The sequence below is a fragment of the Homo sapiens genome, chromosome 7 (genome assembly GCF_000001405.40).
Source record: "Homo sapiens chromosome 7, GRCh38.p14 Primary Assembly".
Classification (NCBI taxonomy): Eukaryota; Metazoa; Chordata; class Mammalia; order Primates; family Hominidae; genus Homo; species Homo sapiens.
This window is the reverse complement of record NC_000007.14, coordinates 41,020,898-41,044,855: the sequence shown is the minus strand read 5'-3', so window position 1 is coordinate 41,044,855 and position 23,958 is coordinate 41,020,898. Positions and strand designations below refer to the sequence as shown.

General features: G+C 41.2%; 1 protein-coding gene across 2 annotated transcripts in view, besides 1 other annotated feature; it reads right to left on the bottom strand.

The window, feature by feature from the left end:
• SUGCT (succinyl-CoA:glutarate-CoA transferase) overlaps positions 6,040 to 23,958 on the bottom strand; it is a 903,812-nt gene continuing 885,893 nt past the window's right edge. For both annotated transcript variants that reach the window (XR_007060157.1, XR_007060158.1), the window contains 2 exons: positions 15,610 to 15,832; positions 6,040 to 12,498 (listed from right to left, as the gene is read on the bottom strand). The gene's annotated coding sequence lies outside the window, so the exon portion shown is untranslated. The remainder of the gene's footprint in view (positions 12,499 to 15,609; positions 15,833 to 23,958) is intronic.
• Positions 15,247 to 16,446: an enhancer, noted in NCBI's record as "P300/CBP strongly-dependent group 1 enhancer chr7:41068008-41069207 (GRCh37/hg19 assembly coordinates)". NCBI's record gives its function as "activates an origin of replication core promoter dependent on BRD2, BRD4, P300/CBP, MED14 and CDK7 cofactors, with strong dependence on P300/CBP, by STARR-seq in HCT116 cells {active_cell/tissue: HCT116}" and the evidence as "EXISTENCE:reporter gene assay evidence [ECO:0000049][PMID:35650434]".

Here is a 23,958-nt window from a genome sequence, read left to right as displayed (position 1 = left end):
AAAAAAAAGTGGGTTGTAACTTATACATGTGGGAATTGGTATGACATTTTAGAAAGAAAAAAATAGCCTGAAAACGCAGAAAAATAAAAATTAGGAGGAGAGGGAATTACAGGGAAAAATTTAATGTGTCCAGAATATGTATGCTCTATGCTGAGTGCAGCCTGGGCATTAGTTAACTAAATCCTCTCTTAATCATGTTCTGTCAGTCAGTATAAGGGTCCAGCAGACAGTGTACTCATATTCTTATATGTTGAGACCTTAAGAAAAATAAGTGACATTTTTAGGAAGCAGAGATCATGAGAGTCATAGCTAATAGGACCTCATTCATTGTGTCTATTTGGTCCTGGGAGAAAAGCTCAAACCACTGGCTCAGTGCCAGGCTGTCCTTCCACCTCTTGGTAGGAAGCGTATACAGCCAGGCTTCTTGTTCCCAAGAAACAAAATATAATGGATCTGTTGGAAAAAAATTATTTAATTGCTTTGATCTTCATTTTTCTCAGATGCAAATTGTCGAGAAATATCAGCCTCAAAGGATTGTTGTAATTAGTAGACAAAATATATGAGTCTAGCCAGATAGAGAGTAAGTGCTCAGTATACATGAATTATGGATTGTGGATAGTAAAAGCATGTTTCTGATATTGGTGGTGCATCAGAATCACTCAGAGGGCTTCTTAAAACACGGATTTCTGGGTCCACCTCCAGAGATTCTGATTCTGTAGGTGTGGAGAGGACCTGAACATTGCAGCCACAGGTGATGCTGCTGGTTCATGGGCCACTCTGTGGAGACCCTGCACTGGGCTATACTGCTTTTCTCTGCTGCATCACTTGACACACCCACTCAGGGGCCTCTAAACAACTCTGGACTCAGAGATAGAGCTGATAAACTCATCCAGGAAAATGTTTTAGATAACCCAATTTGCTACCTATTAATTAAAATAAATGAGAACAAAATAAAATGGTAGAATTTATTTCAGGCACTTTAGGTCCTGAAGTGAAAAAAATATATAGAGAAAGAAAGAGTTAGGAATGCTTTTGAAACCATACCTTTCCTATTAGTGCAGTGATATTGGAAATTTGAGAATTTCCTGGCTAATAAAATGTAGTCATCTTTCTACATAGCAAAAAGGCTACTGACTTCATTTGGCCCGTGAATATTATAGAATTCAAGTTGCTTTTTTTATCTATTCTTCCCCTTCTCTTTTCCACCCTCCCAACTCCATTATCCAGGACAGGGCTACACTGGGCACTCAAGGACAGCTTTGGCTGACACTTCTACAATAGACAAAGCATTGTTTAATTTGACACCCAACTGAGCATAGATGAAGCAGCCCTGGGAATAGGTCAGACACATTCTCTAAACTTTAAGGTTTCTTCTCAAATGTCTTAACGTTAAGGTTGAAAGACAGAAAACCCTAACCCACATCTCCCTCTCAAATATCCTGAGGTTGCTGAGTAGAGCTTTAGAACAGAAACTTAGCTCTTCTGGGAAACCACCAGTTTTCCAACAAAAGACACAGCACAATGAAAACTTCTGAGATTAATTGGAAAGTAGCAGATGTGGAAAGAAACAGCAGTATGCTGGCCATACATGTAAATAATCCTGCCTCCCTTAGTCCCCATCTCTAGTGGAAAATCAGCATAAAACTACTTTCTGAGAAAACTCTATGTGGAAGAATAGATGCCTCCCTCTCAGTACAGGTTAGCAGCCGCATCAGTTAGGAGGGTCCCACGCAAGCAACCAGGAACAGCTTCAAAACATTGCTGACCAGTGGAATCTGAGGTGAACTTCATACCGTCACCTTAAACAAAGAGGGAGAGACCATAACGCACGTGGCTGCTTCTTTACAAGAGATTTTCCCCATAAACCTCATTGCCTTTGCTATCCAACTGGCTCCCACCAATGTGTGCTCATGAACGTGTAAGCAAAGGAAACAACATTTATTGAGTGCCTTCCTATGTACTAGATCTTGTGCTAGGTACTTTACAAATAATATCTCATTTAATCTTCACAGCAACCCTGTGAGGAAATGCACATGTTGCATTAACAGATGAGGAGATGTGGGCTTAACCAAGGTGCAGCCACTTGCTTAATGTTAGTGATATGACCAGGATTACAACCTGGGCCTATTTGAAGCAACATCCAACCATTGCTGTCACCAAAAGATCTGTCTGGCTTTTTCTAATTTTAAAATTACAGTAAACTACACATAACAAAATTTACCATCATAATCATTTTTAAGTATATAGTTCAGTAGTTACGTATATTCACATTGTTGAGCAACCAATCTCCAGAGACTTTTCATCTTAAAAAACTGAAACTCTATACCTATTGAACAATAACTCTCCATTTTCCCTTCCCCTCTGCTCCTGGCAATCATCATCTTACTTTCTGTCTCTGTGAATTTGACTACTCTAGATACCTCATGTAGGTGGAATTACAGAAAATTTGTCTTTTTCTGACTGGTTGATTTCACTTAGCATAATGTCCTTAAGGTTGATGCATATTGTAGCAAATGTCAGAATTTCCCTCCTTTTTAAGGCTGAATAATATTTAAATTGTAAGTATACGGCACATTTTTTTTATCTGTTCACCTATTGGACCTACACTAGAGTTGTTCCCGCATTATAAGTATCATGAACAATGCTGCAATGAACATGAGTGTGTAAATATCTCTCTGAGACTCTACTCTCAATTCTTCTGGATATATACCCAGAAGCGGAATTTCTGGATCACATGAACATTTTATTTTTAATTTTTTGAGGAACTATCATAGTGTCTCATTTTACATTCTCACCATTTTACATTCTCACCAACAGTGCCTGCAAAAAATTCCAATTTCTCTACATCCTTACCGACATTTATTTTCTGTTTTTTTTTGTTTTGTTTTGTTTTGTTTTTTAAAGTAACCACCTTAGTGGATGTGAGGAGTGTGGTTTTGATTTGCATTTCCCTTAGGATTAGTGATGTTGGGCATCTTTCCACATGCTTATTAGCCATTTGTATATCTTCTTTAAGGAAACATCTATTCAAGTCATTTGCCCATTTTAAAATCAGGTTATTTGTTTTCTTATTGTTTAGTTGTAGTTCTTTGAACATTTTGAATATTAATCTTTATCAGATACATAACTTGCAAATATTTTCTCCCATTCCATAGGTTGTCTTTTCACTTTGTTGATTGTGTCCTTTGATGCATAGAAATTTTAAAAATTTTGATGTGGTCCAATTTATTTTTTCTTTTGTTTTCTGGGCTTTTGATGCATGTCAAAAAATCGCCATATTCAATCTCATGAAGCTTTTTCTCTATTTTTTTTTTTTTTGGTAAGAGTTTTGTAGTTTTAGCTCTTATGTTTAGGTCTTTGATCTATTTTGAGTTACTTTTGTATATTCTGTAAGGTAAGGTTTCAACTTTACTCTTTTCCATATGGGTAACCAGTTTTTTGAATACCACTTGTTGAAAAGACTGACCTGGCTGGGCATGGTGGCTCGCGCCTGTAATCTCAGCATTTTGGGAAGCCAAGTCAGGAGGATTATTTTAGCCCAGGAGTTTGAGACCAGCCTAGGCAACGTAGCAAGACCCTGTCTTCACAAAAAATTAAAAATTAGCAGGCCGAGTGTGGTGGCTCACACCTGTAGTCCCAGCACTTTGGGAGGTTGAGGCAGGTGGATCACGAGGTCAGGAGTTTGAGACCAGCCTGGCCAACATGGTGAAACCCCATCTCTACTAAAAATACAAAAATTAGCCAGGTGTGGTGGCACACACCTGTAGTTCCAGTTACTCGGGAGGCTGAGGCAGTAGAATTTCTTGAACCTGGGAGGCAGAGTTTGCAGTGAGCCGAGACTGTGCCACTGCACTTCAGACTGGGCGACAGAGTGAGACTTCATCTCAAAAGAAGAAATTAGCCAGGCATGGTGGTATATTCCTGTAGTCTCAGCTACTCAGGAGGCTGAGGTAGGAGGATCACGTGAGCCTAGGAGGTCAAGGCTGCAGTGAGCCATGATCATGCCACTGCACTCCAGCCTGGGCAACAGAACAAGACACTATTTGAAAAAAAAAAAAAAGAGAGAGAGAGAGAAGAGGAGAGGAGAGAAGACAAGACAAGATAAGTCCAAACCAGACTGTCCTTTCCCCATTGAATAGTTCTGGTACCCTTGTCATAAATCATTTGACCACATATGCAAGGGTTTATATTTGGGCTATCTGTTCTATTCCATTGATCTGTGTGTCTATCTTTATGACACTCTGTTTTGATTATTACAACTTTGTAATAAAGTTTGACATTGGAAAGTGAGGGATCTTTAATTTTGTTCTTTTTTCAACATTGCTTTAGCTATCAAAAGATCTATTCTGAAAAGGAAAAAAATAAAGGAGAAGCTTTTCAAGTCCAAGAATGAAATAGAGTTCTCAAACATACAAAAACTGTTTGGCTTGCCTATGAATACAGTAAAGGTGCCAGAACACGCTTCCAGTTTAAGAGGATCACTCTTAATAAGAATCTGAGACTGTTGTTCCCTCCTTCATCAGGTAGGTCTGCTGATTTTAGAATTAACCCTGGACTGTCACCAGTCTTCCCCCTACTCTCCTAGCCACTGAGGGTCCCAGCTGAGTCTCTTGGTTAAATGAGTTGCTCTACATGGGAAGTTGTGTTGTATTAACACCCTCAGAATCAGCAATCCAAGAACAGCAGAGCAAAGGAGATCAGTAGTAAACAGAATGAGATTTATGGGAGCCCCGCGGGGGTTGTGACCATTCAGGAGAGGGAGCTCCCTTTCCAGTTTTCAGTTTAGTGGCAGAAGGTCAGAACCTGGCAGAACAAATACACCAAATTCCGTAGGAAATACCTCTTTCAATCCAAGGCACTGTGGCTGGATATGTGAGTGGTTATGGAAACCTTTTCTTCTCTCTTGCAGAAACACACAATCAACAAGAAATATGAGAAGAAACAATATTGTTAGCACATTGGAAGATAATGGCAGGAGGTCCATGGGAGCCTGGGACCAGTCATCATGCCAAAGCTGAGGAAACATGAGCAAGAAGGCAAGAAGACAAGCCTTGGGAACGAAGGAAGCCACGTGGTGCTGCAGCCAGAGGCTGCAGGGATTTTCTCAGGGCCTCGTTGCTCACCCCAAGGCTTGTCCCAAGGCTCAGCAGGCTTGCTAAAATAGCCTTAGGCAACAGTGGGGCCTGGGGATGGGGAAAGGCCTCTTCCTCTTCATTACCCCTCTCCATCGCTCTTCCCACTCCCTGGAGCTCTTGCCTTCTCAAGTATTCCCTGGTCATCACCCCTGTGGTCTCTCCTTCCAAGAAATCTTTAAGCCCTTCCAAGAATCCAAGCCCCTGATTCATTCCACTCCAACCCCAAACACATTCTAGATATGCATGCACACATATACACACTCTTACACACACACACACACACACAGCCCACACTGGACTCTTTTTTTCCACCTTGATACTGGTCTCACAAGGGTCAGCTCCCTGGTGTGGTGTCTGGGGTCCCTCACACAGGGAATGCTGAGAGATTGGCTTTCAACGGCAAACATATGTTAGAGTGTTTGATGCCTTCACGTTGACAGAACAGAGAGTTATAGGGACTTTGAATTACGAAAGGGACTCTGGACTAGCCTGGGCAACATAGTGAGACCCTGTCTCTACAAAATAAACTTTTTAAAATTAGCATGGTGGCATGTGCCAGTGATCCCAGCTACTCAAGGGGCTGAGGTGGGAGGATCCTTGAGCCTGGGAGTTTGAGGCTGTGGTGAGCTGTGATTGCACCAGTGCTCTCCAGCCTGGGAACAGAGCGAGACCCTGTCTCAAAAAACGGAAAACAAATAAAGAGAAGGGGTTTCTGCTAGAGAAAGAGCTGCCCACAGAGAAGTTAGTGAAATGACAAAGGGAATTAAAATAAAATAATAAAGCATATATAAGAGAAATAAAAGAATAATTACTATTTCCAGAGCACTTTCTCTTTGCCCCACTCCCCTTTCCCCACGTTGCATGCCCCATGTCAGTTAACCCTGACAGCCCCATTTCGAGGTCAATATCACTATCTTCAGCTTGCTGATGATGAAACTGAAGTGAAGAGAGATGGAGCCCAATGTGCTCTCTTTTATGGAAACTATGAGGCATGGTATGGGAGGCAGAGATTTGGCCTTCATTGATTAATGTGTTCTCCTTCTGTGAATAGAGCCAGCTTATGGGGAGTTCAAACTGGGTTTCTAAAGCTGTCCCACAGCAGGGTGATCCTCCACTGTTGATGAGGAGGCAACTCACCTTCCTTTCCTGTCTGAAACTAGCACCGGTCACAGAAGAGTTGGCAGAGGGGTACTGGGGGTACTGGGTATATTAAGAGTAAGTGAAATATGACTACTTGTCTGTTCAGGGCAGCAGCCACGTCCCACGTAAAAACAGGCCTGCGGAACATTCCCTGAATGGACAGAGATGGGAGCCTCCCTTGGGCTTTCAGCCAAGGTGCCATTTTCGAGGGTTTTCTCAAGGCCTCTGTTTGCTGCCTGCAGAATAGCAGAAGGAAGAATCAGAGGAAAGTCAATACACAGCAGGCATCAGCTGCAAGTGCCTAGGTCAGAAGCCTCCAGCAAGTGCCCCACACAGCCCTGTAGCAACCTTCTACTTACACCAGGCCCAACAGAGGAGGGCAAAAAGGAGGTCAGACGGATGCCTCACTTTCCACCTGTCCCAGCTCCGGGCAGGCAGGTGCCCTGAGCTGCCCACTTCTCCAAGCCCTCTCACAATCCTTCCTTTGTCCCCCTCCATTTCAAGACTTTCTTGGAAAGAAAAATATAAGAAAGATCAGAAGCACTCTTCCCCCGCTTGCAGGGTGTGTATGTATTATTAGATAATTTTTTTCCTTTCCTGTGTTCTGAGTGACCCAACAACATTCCCTCATAGCAACTGCACTTTTATATGGATTAAGAACCAAATGTCGAAAACACAACAGAAAAAGGAATCTTATTGCAGTTTCCAACATCGGACCTGCCAAGAACTAGGAGCTTCAGGGAAGCTAAATCAATTACTTAAGAAGTTTCCATATTTTCAGCTTTTCTCAAGAAAAGCTGGAGGGATACTCAAACCTACCTTTCCAAAAAAAAAAAAAAAGTGCACACATGGCGGTGAACTGATAACTGAGGCATTTCCACGGTCTGCATGTTGGAAGGAGGGTCTATCTAGACATTTGCCAAGGACACTAAAGCTGATTCCAGAAGGCCTCTGGAATTGCAACTGAAATGACCCTTTCAATTAGTGAACTTTTCCAGGTTAGTTAAGAAATTTTCACTGTTCTGTCAGTAAATTCAATAATTTGAAACTCAGTGTTCTGAAATAAAAAAAAAAAAAGGCTGAGCACATGGACTTTACTGTCTTCTTTCTAGAATCTTCTTGAGAATTATGTAATATATCTTTTTTTTTTTTAAAGTATCATTCAGCTTAACACAACTCACCTAATGTGTGTTAAGTGCCTGGTGTGAGGATTCAGATTCAGTAAGGACACAGGAGTTCACAATTTAGAGGGAAAGACAGGCATGCAAGTGAGACCCACAGACATATGTAATCCATACTTCAAAGGCGAGAGTGTCTATGTGGGGGGAAATGATTCGGCTTCAGAGGGGCAGAAAAAACTAAAAAATAATGGAGACAAATGCCCTTGGTTGGCAAGGTAAAAAAGGCAATCCCAAAGGAAGGGCTTTCTTTGTGCTACAAATTTCACACACGTAATCATATTTCATCCACACATGCACAGGTGAGTTTCAGTGTTACAGGATTTGTCTATCCATTTTATAAGTGAGGTAATTATGATTGAGATAATGAGAGTCGAAGTCACTTGTCCCAGGTTACTAAAAAAGTAAACCACAGTTTGGACTCAAGCAGCTAACTTACCATCTGAGTTAGAGTCTGTGAATTAGACTCAAAGTTTGTGCCTGATTGCAGCAGACTGGCTTTGGTCAAGAGGGAAGGTAAGGAGTTCTGTTCTTAAAATGCCAAGCTTAAGGTACATGTAACAGAAGATTAGCTGGGAATAAAGGTCTGGGATTAGAAGGGAGTTTGGAGAGAGATATGAGAGCACTGAACAGATTGGTGGCAGCTGAGGTGTGTTTGAGCCTGAGGAAGTTTGTCCTGGGCGGGGATTTGGTAAGAAAAGCAGCAGTGGCAGCTATTAGGTTGGTGCAAAACTAACTGCTGTTTTTGCCAATAAAAGTAATGGCAATTACTTTTGCACCATCCCAGTAGAGTCCTGGGTTATGGCAGGAATCAAGGGATGAACAGAGAAAAGAGGGAGAGGGGCTGAGACAGTCAAGGGAGTGGAGGAAATACAGAAATCGGAAGAGAGGAGAATCTTAAGGAACGAACAGTGTCAAGACATGACATAAATGCTGCCAAGAGCTCATACAGAATGAAAGTAGTCATTAAACTCACCAACCAGTTGGTGTCAGACCAGATTTAGAACCCAGGTTGTTTGTCTTGTAATATCATGCTCTTTAATATTATGCTTTTCTGATGTAGAAACATTTCTAACATAAATTGTTACAAAAAGTCTGACAGCTATGAAAATTTTCTCGAAAGGTGCCTTAATTGAAACACTTTCCTGGTGAGGCCAGACACAGGAGCTGTTTGTCCATTCACTCATTCAGTCATTCGCCCATGCACTCGCTCATCCACTCATTATTGCACCCATTGATTCACTCATGCATTCCACAAATTTGTTTGAGCCTCTATAATAAGCCTGGCACCAGTCAAGTAAGCAAGACTTCCCACAGTGAGGGGACCTGAGTCCTCCCTGAAGGATCTTGCAGCCTCAGAGGAAACTGTCACTTGAACAAAGACGCTCATCTGTCTGTTGAACAGGATGTGAGACAAAACCACAGGGGGTTCCAAAGGCATGGGGCTGCTCCCCCTGAGGAGTCAGAGAAGCTTCAAAGACAAGGGAGCCTGATCCTGGTCCTATGAGCTGCATCATGTGAGGCAGATGGGAGAAAATGCAAGGCTGGGGGTTCCTGTGAGGTGAGGTGTCGGCAGTGCAGGCTGTGTGGAGACACGAGGAAGCTGCGTGGCCAGAGTGAGCTCCCACAGGTCAACAAGCTGCCCTCCTCCTGATATTTGATATATCAGCACACCACCTGCATTATTTGATGTTTTTACTTAAATCAACCATTTTAAGATAGTTTAGCTTCAAACTTTAAAATCCACAAAATTGCAGTTTTGATGCAGTATTTATTTTTCCTAAGACATTAAAATTTCAAAAAAGATATTTAACTGTGTATCTTGTAAACAACCTGTCCTAGGCATAACAAAATGTGAACACCTCAGGCCAGAGGGTAAAGGTGAGAGTATAGAGGGATGGGTCTTACATTTGGGAGGCCCAGCAACCCTTTGAGAGCATGATGGAAACAACGCAGCCCCTCTTTGCACCATGTGTGTAAATGCACTCCCAAGTGATATTTTGCATGTTATTTCAGGATGGAAGGGCCCAGGGGTTCCTGGATGAGAGGTGAAGTCACCCTGCTGTAGGAGTAAGAGGGCCCTATTGTAAGTGGTTGTGTTACAGCACAAAAGAGCAAAAGTGCACCCACCTGCTATTCATCTTATTTGGATTCCTGGAGACCACCTGGTTGCATTCAATAGCCAAGAAAAAGTTTCAAGAACCTTCTTTTCTCAGCGATACGAATACTGTAGCTATAAGAGGCCCAGGCAATGCCATGGGCCTTGGCCTGTGTGCACTGGGTACTTTGCCCCTCTACTGACTACAGGAATAGACTGAGTTAGCAGGCAGCTGGTGGCAAAGAAGAACACCGCTGGGGACAAAGGCCAGATCAGTGCCCCAGTGCCCAAGTGCTTCTCAGACCATTGGCCAGCCTGTGGGGCAGAGAAATAGGGAGTCCAGCCAGCCCATGCTGAGACGGTCTGGAAGGGGCAGCTGGAGCAGAACCACGCTATTCAAATTCTCAACTCCATTTCTGAGGCTGGGGGCCTTATTAAGTGATACCCCCATCACCCCTAGAAAGAGGCCTAGACAAGAAGTAAGGTTTGCCTTCTGTTGGCAAATACCTCCACTCAGAGGCCACTCCATCTTCCTCAAAAGACCAGAAAGAAGGGCAGACTGAAGGAAGGAAGAAAGAAAAGAAGCTAAGAAGGATGAATGGACACGCAGAAGAAGAATGTGGCTGCTGCTTTAAATGTACCAGTTTAAGCTCCAAACACAGTAGCTAAGAGCTCATGTTAAATGGTGAATAAATGAAAAGGTCAACATGTCTAGGGACCCAATTACCCTCAGCCTGGTGCACAAGAAGTCCCAATTAGTCTCATCAGCTCGCTTCTGTGGGTCTAGATGTGAGCAGCTCTGACCCCTCCAGCCCCAGCAAGATTGTGTTCATGGGTCCAAATGCTCCATGGTCAGCCTTGTTTTCTTAAGGCTCAGACTCGGCTCTAAACACTTGATTGTTTGACCCAAGGAGAAAAAGTCTGGCCCAGAGGTAATGAACTGTTAGTTCTCAATCTGTTTTACTTTCATGGAAAATGAGAATTCTCTCGACCACACAGATATTACATGAATCAAGATGTACTGTGCCCCCTTCTCCCTTGCACACACTCATGAGCACACACACATACGCACGCACTGCTGAATTCAAATGATCCAGGTTGGACCATGCCAGCATATCATAATTTAAATGCTCTCAACACCATGACAAGTATAATTAAGTTGCTCACATGTATTGCATTGTATTGGTTTCATGACCTATTATACTCAGGATGCCATGGTTATCCTAAGCAAAACAGTTTGATACTAATACCCTGTCACCATAATGTACACGGACAACATTGATAGGTTCATACCTCTGTGGAGACAGAAACTTTGCATTTTGACAATCTCATCCTTCTTTTTTAGCATTATTTCCCCTCCCTTGTGTCAATTATCTTTTCCATATCCCTCACCTACTTGGCCCCCCAAGACCCAATTCCAGTTTCATTTTCTTCAAGACCTTGCTGTCAGATGGGGACCAGCTCAGCACACGGGGCCAGCTCAGCACATGGGGCCACCTCAGACCCATCATAGGTCAATAGTTCTTCAAGTCTGACTCAGGAACCCCCTGAGTCAAAACATTTGGGTGCTTGTTAATTCAAGTTCCTGGGCTCTGCTAACTGAATCACAATTTCCAGGAGTGGGAAAGAGAAAGAAGCATTTTAAATAAGTTTCCTGGAAATTCCTGCATGTGCACATTTGCATGCATACCTCCCATCCCCTCCCTCCAGACTGTAAAACCTCTAAGATAAGTTATTTGACCTCCTAGAGCCATAACAGAAGTTTGTAAACCATAAAGACTTGGAAATTTCAAGACACCATTCTAAGAGTTGGTCTCAGCTGGGGATGAGTTAACATGTTTGGGTCCCAGAGTTCCTACTGTATGCAATCGTCTCAGATGTAGTTTTTGACAGCTACCTCTGCAAAAGCCAACAGATAATCAGGGAAATTTAAATGGCCATACAGCATCATACAAAGGACAAAAAAGAGAACTAGGGTGGTAAGAGAGCAGGTAGTGGAAGTGAGTCCAGAAAGGAAAGCAAGACAGAAGAGATGAAGGGAAAAGAAGTTTGCAGTTGTTGATCTGACTTACTGCAACTTCTGAAGATTGAGTATTCAGATGTCCCCTCAATGAGAGAGCTAATGGTTCCTGAACCACCTACAATTTGATTGTTGAATGACCAAATGTTTGGGCCTGGCTAGTTTCCTTTGTCCTCTACACATTAGGCCATACAAAACAGGGGCTTAAATTGGGGTGTTTTTTGGCCCCACGCAGTGGCTCATGCCTGTAATCCCAGGACTTTGGAAGGCCAAGGTGGGTGGATCACAAGGTCAGGAGATCGAGACCATCCTGGCCAACATGGTGAAACCCTGTGTCTACTAAAAATACAAAAATTAGCTGGGCATGATGGCATGTGCCTATAGTCCCAGCTACTCAGGAGGCTGAGGCAGGAGAATCGCTTGAACCCGGGAGGCAGAGGTTGCAGTGAGCCAAGGTCTCACCACTGCACTTCAGCCTAGCGACAGAGTGAGACTCCGTCTCAAAACAAACAAATAAACAAACAAAAACTGGGGTTTTTTGTTTTTACCCCACTGAAAAGCACTCACTTCAGGAGCCTAGAGATAAAGCTCTGTGTCACTCAGAGGTGGCATTCTGCATAGAACACAAATTAGTCTCCTGTGGCTTAGCCAGTTTATTTTTCTCTGATGACACATCTGAAGGTAGGCTCCACCATATTTTTAAGGTTCAAGGCTCTTTCCGTCTTTCTGGTCTGACTTTCTTAGAATGTAGTTGTGTACTTACAGTGAGTCTACTCTTGCCTTTCCTTTACATTCCAGGCAAAAAAAGAGGAAGACAGGCAACAGGAAGGAAAGGATACCTTCGTATCAGGAAAATGAAACTTTCTCTGAATCGCCAGCAATCTTCTGCTTCTCACTGGTGAGAATTGTCTGAGATGGTGAACTCCACTGAAAAAGAAAAAAAAAAAAACATGAGAAATGTAGCTTTTATTTTTAAAATGTAGGACATTGTCCCCTTGAACAAAACTGGGATTCTATTAGCAAGGAAAAAGATGCACATGGGTACTAGGTAGGTAACCAGCAGTGTGTACCCCAAGTCTGGAGATGTGCACTTGGCCTATCTGGGGAAGATAATTCTTTTGTTGTGTGTATTTGCTTGTTGGTTTAGTTCTACAGCCCTTACAGCTGTGGTGTGAAAGGCAATAATATGAATTTCCTGTCTTGTTCATATAATCCCCCAGCTTTTAGCATGTGCTTCAAGCATCTTCAGTCTAATTTTAGGTTCATTCATTCATTCATTCATTCATTCATTGAGACCCTACTAGATACTGGGCACAGGGCTCCACTCCATGAGCATGATGGAGTGAAGCTGGCTCCTATACTCATGAGCTTGCATTCTAGTAGAGAGAGGAGGATGCATGATCAGGTAAGTACAAGGTGGAGAGAAGAGTGCCACAACAAGGGAAGTAAATGATGCAATGGGGCACACAATATGCCAGGCATGCAGCCCATTAGGGGTTAGGGAGGGTGCTCAGAGAAGAGTAAGAGAGGAAGGTAATAGAGATGAGTGGGTGGGTCATTCTAGGAGAAATGGTAAGTATGATCTAAAGAATTTGGAAGAAGAATGTTGGCCTTCTGGAAATTTTGAAAGTTCAGAATATCTGAAATATAGCCTTTGAAACAAGGAAAAGCCAACAGGAGGTAGGCAACGGTCAGATCGTGATGCCCTTGTCCAGAAAGCACAGGGAGCCAATGACGGGCTTGAAGTGGAAGTCACAGATGGCCACAGACAGTCATGCTGTAACCTTGACCTGTCTGGAAAAGACTATTTTTACCACTGTGGATCAATCAGTTGAGACAATTCCATTCCAAATGATTTTGTTCTTACTTGGCAAAGCAACTGGGTAGAAAACAGATAATTTTCTTTCTCAGTCCTTTTTAGCAGTACTATGCAGACACAGCTTCCAAAATTCATAAATCAGAGAGCCCAGACCATATTGCTAGCATCCTCACCAACCTGTGACATTTCAGGCCATCATTTCAGGTTTCAGTGAACTGCCCTGCCGAGACTTGGCATAAGCTATTAGCATAGAAGACAGAGAATTCTTGATTTAAATAATCCTATGGGCCAGCCTGGGTAACATAGTGAGGCCCCATCTCTACACAAAATTTAAAAATTAGGCCAGCGTGGTGGCTTGCATTTGTGGTCCTAGCTACTTGGGAAGCTGAAGTGGGAAGATCACTTGAGCCCGGGAGACGGAAGTTGCTGTGTGCTGAGATCGTGTCACTGCACACCAACCTGGGCAGCAGAGTGAGACTCTTATCTCAAAATAAACAAATAATCAATCCTGTGGCACTTGGTTCCTACTACATTATCTACGATGCACTAATATGTCCTCCAACTATGAGTAATCATTACAGCACTCCCCTCTGTATCCTCCTCCCTTGGGGGTGGTCTGACCTGTTTCCTCCCTTTCTCCTCACTCACCACCCTGGGCTACTCCCACAACTCAGAGGCAACGATCTCACTTCTAGCCAATGAAGACTCACCTTGGAATTAACTTTTTATCATAACTGTAAAGACCAAACAGAAATGTCAGCATACATTCAGAATTTATAATGTATGATTAATCCAGGATGGAAATTGGGGTGGTGTGGGAAATCCTTAGATACTAAATAAAAATGTGTGAAAAATTCAAGCAGCAGATAACTTGGAAATCTAATCTTAAAATTTCTCAGCAGGAAAATGTAAAGGGAGGGACGAGAGGAGGAAGTAAAGAGTGCAAGGAAACATGTAAAATGAATGTTTATTTGCTTATTATTTTATAACCATCCTCTTTATGTGTATTTTCCAGACTGTATGTTATCACTGCCTTAATGGATGAGTCAAAAATCAGAAGGGTTAAATGAACTCCTAAAGGATGAAAGCCAGACTTTCCATTTCACCCACCATTTTTCAGAAAGTAAGGCTTCCAAATGAAACTCCATTTTGCCTACTCTCAGAAAAACCAAAAAAGCAGAAGATGGTGAATCACTGAAGATCTTAATAATGAAAAAAAAAAGCCTCTGGAAAACTTATGTCCACATAAAAACCTGCACATGGCAGTTTTATTCATAACTGACAAAAAGTGGTAGCCAAGATGTTTTAAATAGGCAAACAGCAAAACTGTGGCACGTGTATACAATGGTGTATTAATCAACAATAAAACAAGTGAGTTATCAGGCCATGAAAAGACATGGAGAAGCCTTAATGCATACTGTAAAGTAAAAGATGCTATTCTGAACAGGCTGCATTCTGTATGAGTCCAACTCTATAACATTGTGGAAAGGACAAAAGCTATAGAGATAATAAAAGGATCAGTGTTCTGCAGGAGTTGGGGAGGCGAGAGATGAGGGATGAACAGGTGAAGCCATGAGATTTTTAGGGCAGTTAAACTATTACTTATGATACTGCAATGATGGATACATGACATTATGTATTTGCCAAAACTCATAGAATATACAGCACAAAGAGTGAGCCTTAATGTAAACTATGGGCTCTGGTTAATAATAGTGTAATAATATTGGTTCATCAATTATAACAAATGTACCAAAATAATACATGTTAACAACAGGGAAAACTGGGGAGAGGACGGGGAAGGTATATGGGAACTCTCTGTACCTTTTCTTCTGAGCAATTTTTCTGAAAACCTAAAACTGCCGAAAGTAAAGTCTACTTGGAAAAAATAAAGTCTCTGGCATGGGTTTTTCCTAGAAGGAAGGCAAGGGAGTTTCAGTTGCTAGCAGTGGGCCTGGGAGACAAGGGGCTTTACAGGGTGTAGGAGGCTGTTTCATGGACATCCATCCATCCAGTCATGTGCCTGACCCCAGCCACAGAGGTGGAGGGGGTGTGACAACACTGCTGACTCAGGAGGTTCCAGAAGTTACATGCAGAATCTGGGGGTAGGCTCTCCCTTCTGACTTGGGGGTGTTCTGACTAATATGTGACTAAGAATTTTCAAGGAGACAAGATCGGATATAGCCGAGGCCCCATTGTCTTTATAAACAAGCAGCACTCACCTTGTAGAGTGTAACATTTAGAGAGTTCAGTGACTCATGCTCACGTCATGGAGTCTGCAGATGACTGAGTTTTCAGGTCATCGCACTGCATGTAGGCTGGCTTGCTGGGGAGTCCTCACGAGGGCTCCCACATCACTGAGGACATCAGGGGAGGAGGGCATGAGGAGAGGCTGACTAAGCCAGTCTTTGAGCATTCAGAACTGATCATCCTTTTATCTGTTGTCTGAAAGACATGCCAAAAATATGATTTTGGTGCCATCTTGTTCCCTAAAGCTCTTCTCTGGGGGTATATTAGAGAGAATTCCAATTAACACTGCCGAGAGCTGAACACTTAACACTTCAACAAGCCCATGAGGGAGGCACAATTGATATCCCAGTTTTGCAGATGTGAAGACTCAGGCTTACAGAGGTGAAATAGCATGCACTATAGTACCCAGCCAGAGCATACTGGCGTTGTCTGTCCCCAGAGCCAGAGAGCTGAATCATTTAGGTTCTGCCAAGAACTGCATGACAACATTTTAGTCAACAATGGACTGTACATAGAAAGGTGGTCCCATAAGATTACAATACCTTATTTTTACTGTATCACTTCTATGTTTATATACAAAAATGCTTATCATTATGTAACAATTGCCTACAGTACTCAGCACAATAACATGCTGTACAAGTTTGTAGCCTTGGAGTGATAGGTTATACCATAAAGCCTAGGTGTGTAGTGGGCTCTGCCTCCTAGGTTTGTGTAAGTGCACTCCGTGATGCTCCCACAGCGATGACTTTGCCTAACTATGCATTTCTCAGAATGGATCCCCAGTTGTTAAGCAACTCATGACTGTATGTTGCTTTCCAAATTGATCACTTGGGACGGCCAGTGATGCTGTTAGTCCTCTCAGGGATTATTTAGTGTTAGACAGAAACAATAAATTCTAGCGACTTTATTTCTTAAAGCCTTTCTTTGACCGCTCTTATTCCATGCTAGTTTTCTCAACATATCCAGGGTCTCAACTTCAGAAGAACTAAAACATTCCTTCTTTCTCTTGGCTTCTAGGTCTGCTGCTGTAATGCATGTTCCCTCTGCACTGATTTTGTGGATAGGATGTAGGGACCAGACGCTGGAGGCACTGCCTCAATACCTGCCTGCCTGAGTTAGGAATCATCCTTAGCACCCACCAAGGACTTCCTAAGTGCTGGACCCTGTGCTAAGCCTGTTTCCTGCATGATCATTAATCCTTAAAATCTATGAAGAAAATCCCAATATCTACCCATTTTACAGATGAGGAAAGCCAGTTTGGATGGGTTCATCAGCTTGCACAGAGGCAGAAGGTATGGCGTCTGCTGGGATGACATCTGTACTGTTTCGGATGCTTGGAGCCCCCGCATGTTGTGATAATGTGGTGATTACTCAGCTAACGTAGATCAAAGAGGAATTTAAAGTCTTTCATATCACAGACTCTTTGTGGTCTTTAGACGATCATTAAAAAATTAAATATGTCCCTGTTATGTCTATTTTCTCCTAATGTTTTCCTAATGGGAGTGTGAGACTTTTTTACATGAGACAACTGGTTTATATTCCCCAGGAGCCAAGTGGAATGCCATGAATGAGAATGTCATTGCCCTGAATACCTTCGATGCTCTCATAACCACAAACTGTAGTACATATAAAGTGGATGGACAAACTTCCTGCATATTTGTCCCTTCCATTCCTGGCATGCTTCTTACACCGCAGAACATTATGCATATCCAGGAATTGAGGAGTCTTTTGAAAGGGAAATTCCCCCTCCTACCAATACAATGTAAGCTTCAAACCTAGTCAGTGTCATTGAGGGATTTACCATTTTTCTGCTCATGGTCACCACAATGTCACCAAGGAGAAGAGCAACCACATCCCTTGACCCATCCTCAGCCCTGCCCTGGCCAAGGTCCTTTTTTCAAGGCTGATGCCCTTCACTAATGGTACCGAGAGCAATCCCTTCCTTGGGACTCTTGCCCTGAAATTTCCCAAGACGTCTTGGAAGGCGTGGATGCAGGGTGAGGATGGGAGGTTTTAGAGGACCAGCCATTAAGGCCGTAGGCTAAAACTCTGGACTTCTTTTTCCAGATTGCTTCTGCTTCTAAAAGAGAATGTATGCATTAACCATTTCTCTCTGACATCTAGAAACATCTAGAAAGATGTTTTTGTTTTTGTGTAAACTTTTTTTTTAAGTATGAAACTTTTTTTTAGATGGAGTCTTGCTCTGTCGCCCAGGCTGGAGTGCAATGGCATGATCTCGGCTCACTGCAGCCTCTGCCACCCAGGTTCAAGCAATTCTCCTGCCTCAGCCTCCTGAGTAGCTGGGATTACAGGCATGCGCCACCTCTCTTAGTTAATTTTTGTATTTTTAGTAGAGACGGGATTTCACCATGTTGGCTAGGCTGGTCTTGAATTCCTGACCTCATGATCTACCTGCCTCGGCCTCCCAAAGCTCTGGGATTATAGGCATGAGCCACCGCACACAGCCTAAGTATAAAAGTTAAGGATCAGACAACCAGCTTCTATGAAAGTCTGAATTAAGCTGGCGCCTTTGATTTGGATAAAGACCGTACAAGACTTCTCACGTAGATGGGCATGTTAATACTATCTAAAGACAATCAGATTGTGTTTACCTAAATAATCATTTCTGAGATACCATAACTTCAGTTTCATTGTCCTTTTACTTTAAGTTGTTGCATTAGTTTCACTGAATATAAATAGAATTAGTATCAAGGCATCAGTGTCAAGATGAATGCAGCCTTCTGCCCTGGACTCCCAAAATTTCACAGAGCTTGATGGCAGGACAGCATTTTTCTGCAGGAACTCCTTAGTACAGCCAGGTCCAAACTGTAAAATACAGGCAACAAACTAGATGCCTGCAGGAGTCAAGCAAGTTGTATGAATGGATGGTTCAATTCAAGTGCTGGGGACAGCGCTGACCAGGTAAAGATGAGAAAACATACCCCCTTCAGCACAGGACCATCACCATTCGGTGGTTGCCAGGAGTAGGACTGGCTACATAATATGGGAGGCCCAGTGCAAAATGAAAATGCAGGGTTATTAGTCAGGAAGACCTACGCAGGTCGCAGGCCCATGAAGCTGGCCCTGGCCAGGAGGCAACGTAAGACCAAGGTGATGGTGGCAGCAGGTGCAGCTCCAGAGCACACATAGACCTGCGTTTGCACACCCCGTGAGACTGTTCAACTCAGAGAAATCCCGATGTGAATGTTGTAAAAAGTGTGCTGGCCTCCAAGGCCTCTCCTGGAGTCCACCCCTCGACCCATTTTGACTGCTCTGGGACTTACAAATGTTAACATGTGCAGAGTTCCTGAGATCAGCTGCACGGGTCTTTAATAACTTGGCAAGGGGCTTTCCAGAAAGCTATGGGTGCATAGCTGAACTCAGGTTAAAAATCTAATACACCTTCTTTTCCCTTCTTTCCATTCTAAAAAGAAATGGATGTCTTCCTTCCAACTACAGAATTTAACATTTTTTCACCTTTATTCATAACTCATTTTATTTAACTTTTCAATTATTTTATTTAACACAACTCATTCTTATTTTATTTTAAAATATTCTTACAGTGGCTGGGCACGGTGGCTCACATCTGTAATCCCAGCAGTTTGGGATGCCGAGGCAGGCTGATCACAAGGTCAGGAGTTCGAGACCAGCCTGGCCAATATGGTGAAATCCTATCTCTACTATTTTTAGTAGTGGTGGTGGGTGCCTGTAGTTCCAGCTACTCGGGAGGCTGAGGCAGGAGAATCGCTTGAACCCAGAAGGCGGTGGTTGCAGTGAGCTGAGATCACGCCACTGCACTTCAGCCTGGGTGACAGAGCGAAACTACGTCTCAAAAAAAAAAAAATCATACATTGATTCTCTTTCAAACATGGAAAATAATTATATTTCAGACATACTGAAAATAATATACAGACATCCAGATATATCCAACCCTAGATTTAATAAATGTTGGCATATTGCCATATTTCTTTGACATCTGTTTAAGAAAGAAATTATTGCACATATATTGGAAATGTCCCCATATAATCCCTTCCTTTTTATCACAGAATTAACCAAAATCTTGAGGGTTTTATAACTTTCCTATCAATGGTTTTATACTTTGATGCATAAGTAACTAGATAGCATTATGTCTTTCTTTTCAATTTACCAAAATTATATAATGCATTTGTAACTTGCTCTTTATCCCTTCAACACTTACAGAGTATGTATGTTGATACATGTAGATTTAGGATATTCATTTTAACTGCTATTTAGTAAGCTCCTATGCATATAGGACAACTTATACACGCCCATGTCTTAGGCTTCTTTCTGATTGTTTGCTATTTTTTAACGAACAATGTGCAGTGACGATTAGAGTATATGGTTCTCGTGCATATATTTCTCAAGAATATGTACCCAGGTTGTAGGGTCTGAATAGCCTCAGTTGGGAGCAGTTTGACAATATCCACTCAGGGGGCTGTACCCATTTACACTCCCACAATCAATATTTGAGAGTTCCTCAACTACACTTCCTCTCTCTTACTTGTTATAACGAGGCATCCTTTTTTTTTTTTTTTTGCCAAATTGTTGGGTGTGAAGAGACATTTCATTGCTGATTTAATCTTCATTTCCCTGTCACTAATGAGATTACGTGTCTTTTCATATGTTTATTGGCCATTAGGGTTTTCTCTTCTGCTATGCACTTATTTATATCCTTTGCCATTTTTTAAAAAATTGGGTATGCTTTTATGAGAAAGCGCTTTATAAGTTCTAGATATGGATTCTTTGTTGGTTAAGAGTGTAACAAGTTTCTTCTCCTAGTCTGTGGCTTGCTTTTTCACTAAGTTTGGATTGCCTTTTGTTATACAAAGGATTTTAATTTTAACGTAGTTAGATTAATCATTCTTTGTTTTCACAGTCTGTGGTTTGTGTGTCTCGGTTAGTGAATCCTTCTCCATCCAAGCTTATACAGATATTCTCCAAGATACAATTCTAAGTATTTTTAGGTTTTGCCTTCCACATTTATGCCTTTAATCCTTTGGAACGTAATTTTCTGTATAGTGTAAGGTAGGATTCTAACTTTATGTTTTTCTGAATGGAAGTTTCCACAAAATCATTGAATAGTGTATTTCGTCTTCTCTTCCTTGCAATGCCACTAAGGGCATCTATCAAGTTCACATACATGCATGTTGTCTTGCATTGTTCTGTTTATCCATTTCTGCACTATTATGCCATTTTCATTACCAGAGCTTGATCATGATTACGGATGCCTAATACGGGAAGTTCACCTTTGTATTTGTTAGGATGCTTTGGGCTGCAATTCACACTGACATAAAAATGGGCTTTTATAAAATGCCATATAATAAGAATAATGAAGGAAATGGCTATTGCTTTTTCAACAATCACTTCCTAATGAAAATCTTTTCAAAGACAAAAAGAGAAGTACAGGAGGCGTGAAGGACATCTTATTTTGATCAGAAAAAAAAAATCCCTTCCCAGAATCCCTGCTGGGGATTGCTCCTTTGCTCCTTACACAGCATTGCCCAGCAGTGGGTGACATGGGCAGCCATTCATCACTGCCTGGAAAAAGAAATGGGATTGTAGGAACTGTTTTATTATTGTCAATTTGTCCATCGCTCCTTACAATTCTATTTTCACTGCATCTATTTTAGGGCTCAGATGTTGGATGTACAAAGATTCAGGATTGTTATCTTGCTGACAAATTGTTCCTTGTATTCTTATGTAAGAATATATTTTTATTTTTTCTTTATTTCTATATTTTTATTAATTTGTATTGTCCTGAAGGTTATTTTGTCTAACATTAATATTAATGTATGTTTTTTCTTTTGATGAATGCTTTCCTGTATCTCTTTTCTCATTCCTTACTTTCAAAGTATATTTCTTTATGTTTACATATTTCTCTGTACACATCAGTAAGGTTAGGCTATGCTCTGCTGTGGTAATAAACGGCTCCAACATATCAACAATTGAGCAAAACAAAGAACTGCAGGTCCCTCAAAGCTCCATGGGGGGTTCTGTTCCACTTCATCCTTACCCTGGGGTCCCAAGAAGTCATTGTTTGCACCATTGCTAGTGGTTGTAGCAGAAAGAGAAAACCTGACATGCTGTGAACTGTTAGCATTTCCATCCCAAACTGGCACACACCACTTCAGCTCACATCATATAACAAGTTGTACGTCACACTTCACTCCTGGGGTAGGCAAGTGACATCCAAATCATGAGTCCAGGATGAAGATAAGGAAAATTTAGTGATCAGCATGAAAAACTGCCATGACAGATGTTTGGATTGTTAAAATAATATTCAATCTGAGAAGCTATATTAATTGATAAGTTTATATTTATATTTATGACAAATACTGATATTAACTAATTTGTGTCTTCTCTTTATCCTGCTCTTATTTTTTTTATACTTTCTTTCCTTCACCTATTGGGAAAGTATATTCTATTCCTATTTTTACATGCTTATCTTAAAATTATAATGCATATTTAGCACAGTAAATCAATATTTATACTCTTGCCCTAAACATTTTAAAGAATTCAAAATATATTAGTTCTATGGAGTGTTTCTTATCTTCCATTGTGCTCTTTTCTAGCATTCTAGTTCCACCTGGATTTTAATTCTCTTCTCAAATACTTGGTTTTAATATTTTTAAGTCAATGCTTTTGAAGAAATGTATCCAACATTTTAATAATCCTCTACTCACCATCAATCTTTGCATTCTATTCCTCATTCCAGGGTTAATTCTCATCTAATTTAATTACACTCTTAAGATGTTTCTTCAGTAAGCATCTTTAAAGAAGAAACTCCCATTCATTGTTTATCTGAAAATGTTTTTCTTTTGCTTTCTCTCCTGAGTAGAAGTTTAGCTACCCCAGAATCCTAGACTGACAGTTGTTTTCAATATAAAGTTAGTAAGTACTTTGAAGATAATATTCTATTGTCTTCAGGTCTCTATTTTGGTGATGACAAGATTATTATTTTATTTTTTATTTAGAATACCCCTTTTTGTTCTAGCTGCTCTTAAGACCTTCTGCCTGTCTTTGGCAGTCCATTGTTCACATACAAGGTATCTAGGTGAGTATTTTGTTTAATCCATTCTGCCTAGGATTCATTGAGCTTTCTACATCTCAGAACTGATTACTTTAATCAATTCCAAAAAATTCTCTGCCATTATCTTTTTGAATATTGGCTCTTTCTTTTCACTCTATTATTTTCTTTCTGGAATTTTAATTTGATATATTTTAGGCTGCCTAAGACTATTCTTCATATTTCTTTACTTCTCTTTCATATTTCAATTTATGTATCACTCCATGCTGCATTCTAGGTTATTTCCCAGATTTTATATCTGTGTTTATTGAGTCTCTCTCCTACTATGTTTAATGCATCATTGAGTTTATCCTTTAAGTTTTAAATTGCTTTCTCTGTGGAAAGACACTCTATGTATTTTGGGGCCTACCTTTTGGTTAATTAGATTGTTCTTTACACACAGTGTCATGCCTTTCATCATGTTCTCTGTTCTTTTAATATCTAATAATTTTAGATATTCTTATTTTATACTTTCTTTCAGATTATTCCATGACCTCTAGTTCTTGGGGGTGGGGGGCATTAATACTCCCATCGTTGACTCTCCATTATGATGAATAATTACTTGTTATTTCCCATGTTTTTTCTTGCTAGCTCATCTTGACATTTTTCAGACTGAAAGTTTTTCTGAATGATGATTTCTTGCATAGAAAGTAAGTCATTATCTGATTCTAGCATCATGTGAACTGAACTATTACAGATTCACCTCCTACTACAAACATACAAAACAGTTGGATAAAGTATAACAACAGGGCACTTTAAAAAACATATATAAGGAAAAATAATAAGGAAAATGTCTGTTTTCTCTGTGAGTCTTTTTAGCTCTGAATTCCTAGTGGTTTTGTTTTTTCAAAGTACCAAGGATTTCATCTGAGACCAGATTCCATGTGGATTTCTGAGTTGAGATTCTGTGCTAGCTAGTCCATAACTTTGCTTGTCACTCCTCTGCCTGTGGCAGGCCAGAGTTTCAGTTTCTCAAGAGATTATTTGTGCCTTTTTCTACTCTTCCCTACACTTGGGATAGTGCAAGCTTGTTGTACTTTGCCATGTTGGTCAAGGCAGCTTTTCTGTGAGGGTCTCTTCACGGAGTGGGTAATTCAATGCCAGCCTCAGTTCAAGCACTGTGCCTCACGGAGGCCACAGGCCACATCTCCTGTCCATCTGTGAGCATTCATACTTTGGCCCCTAAATTGCAGGACATCTATCTAAATGTGAATTATCCCACAACCATATCAGG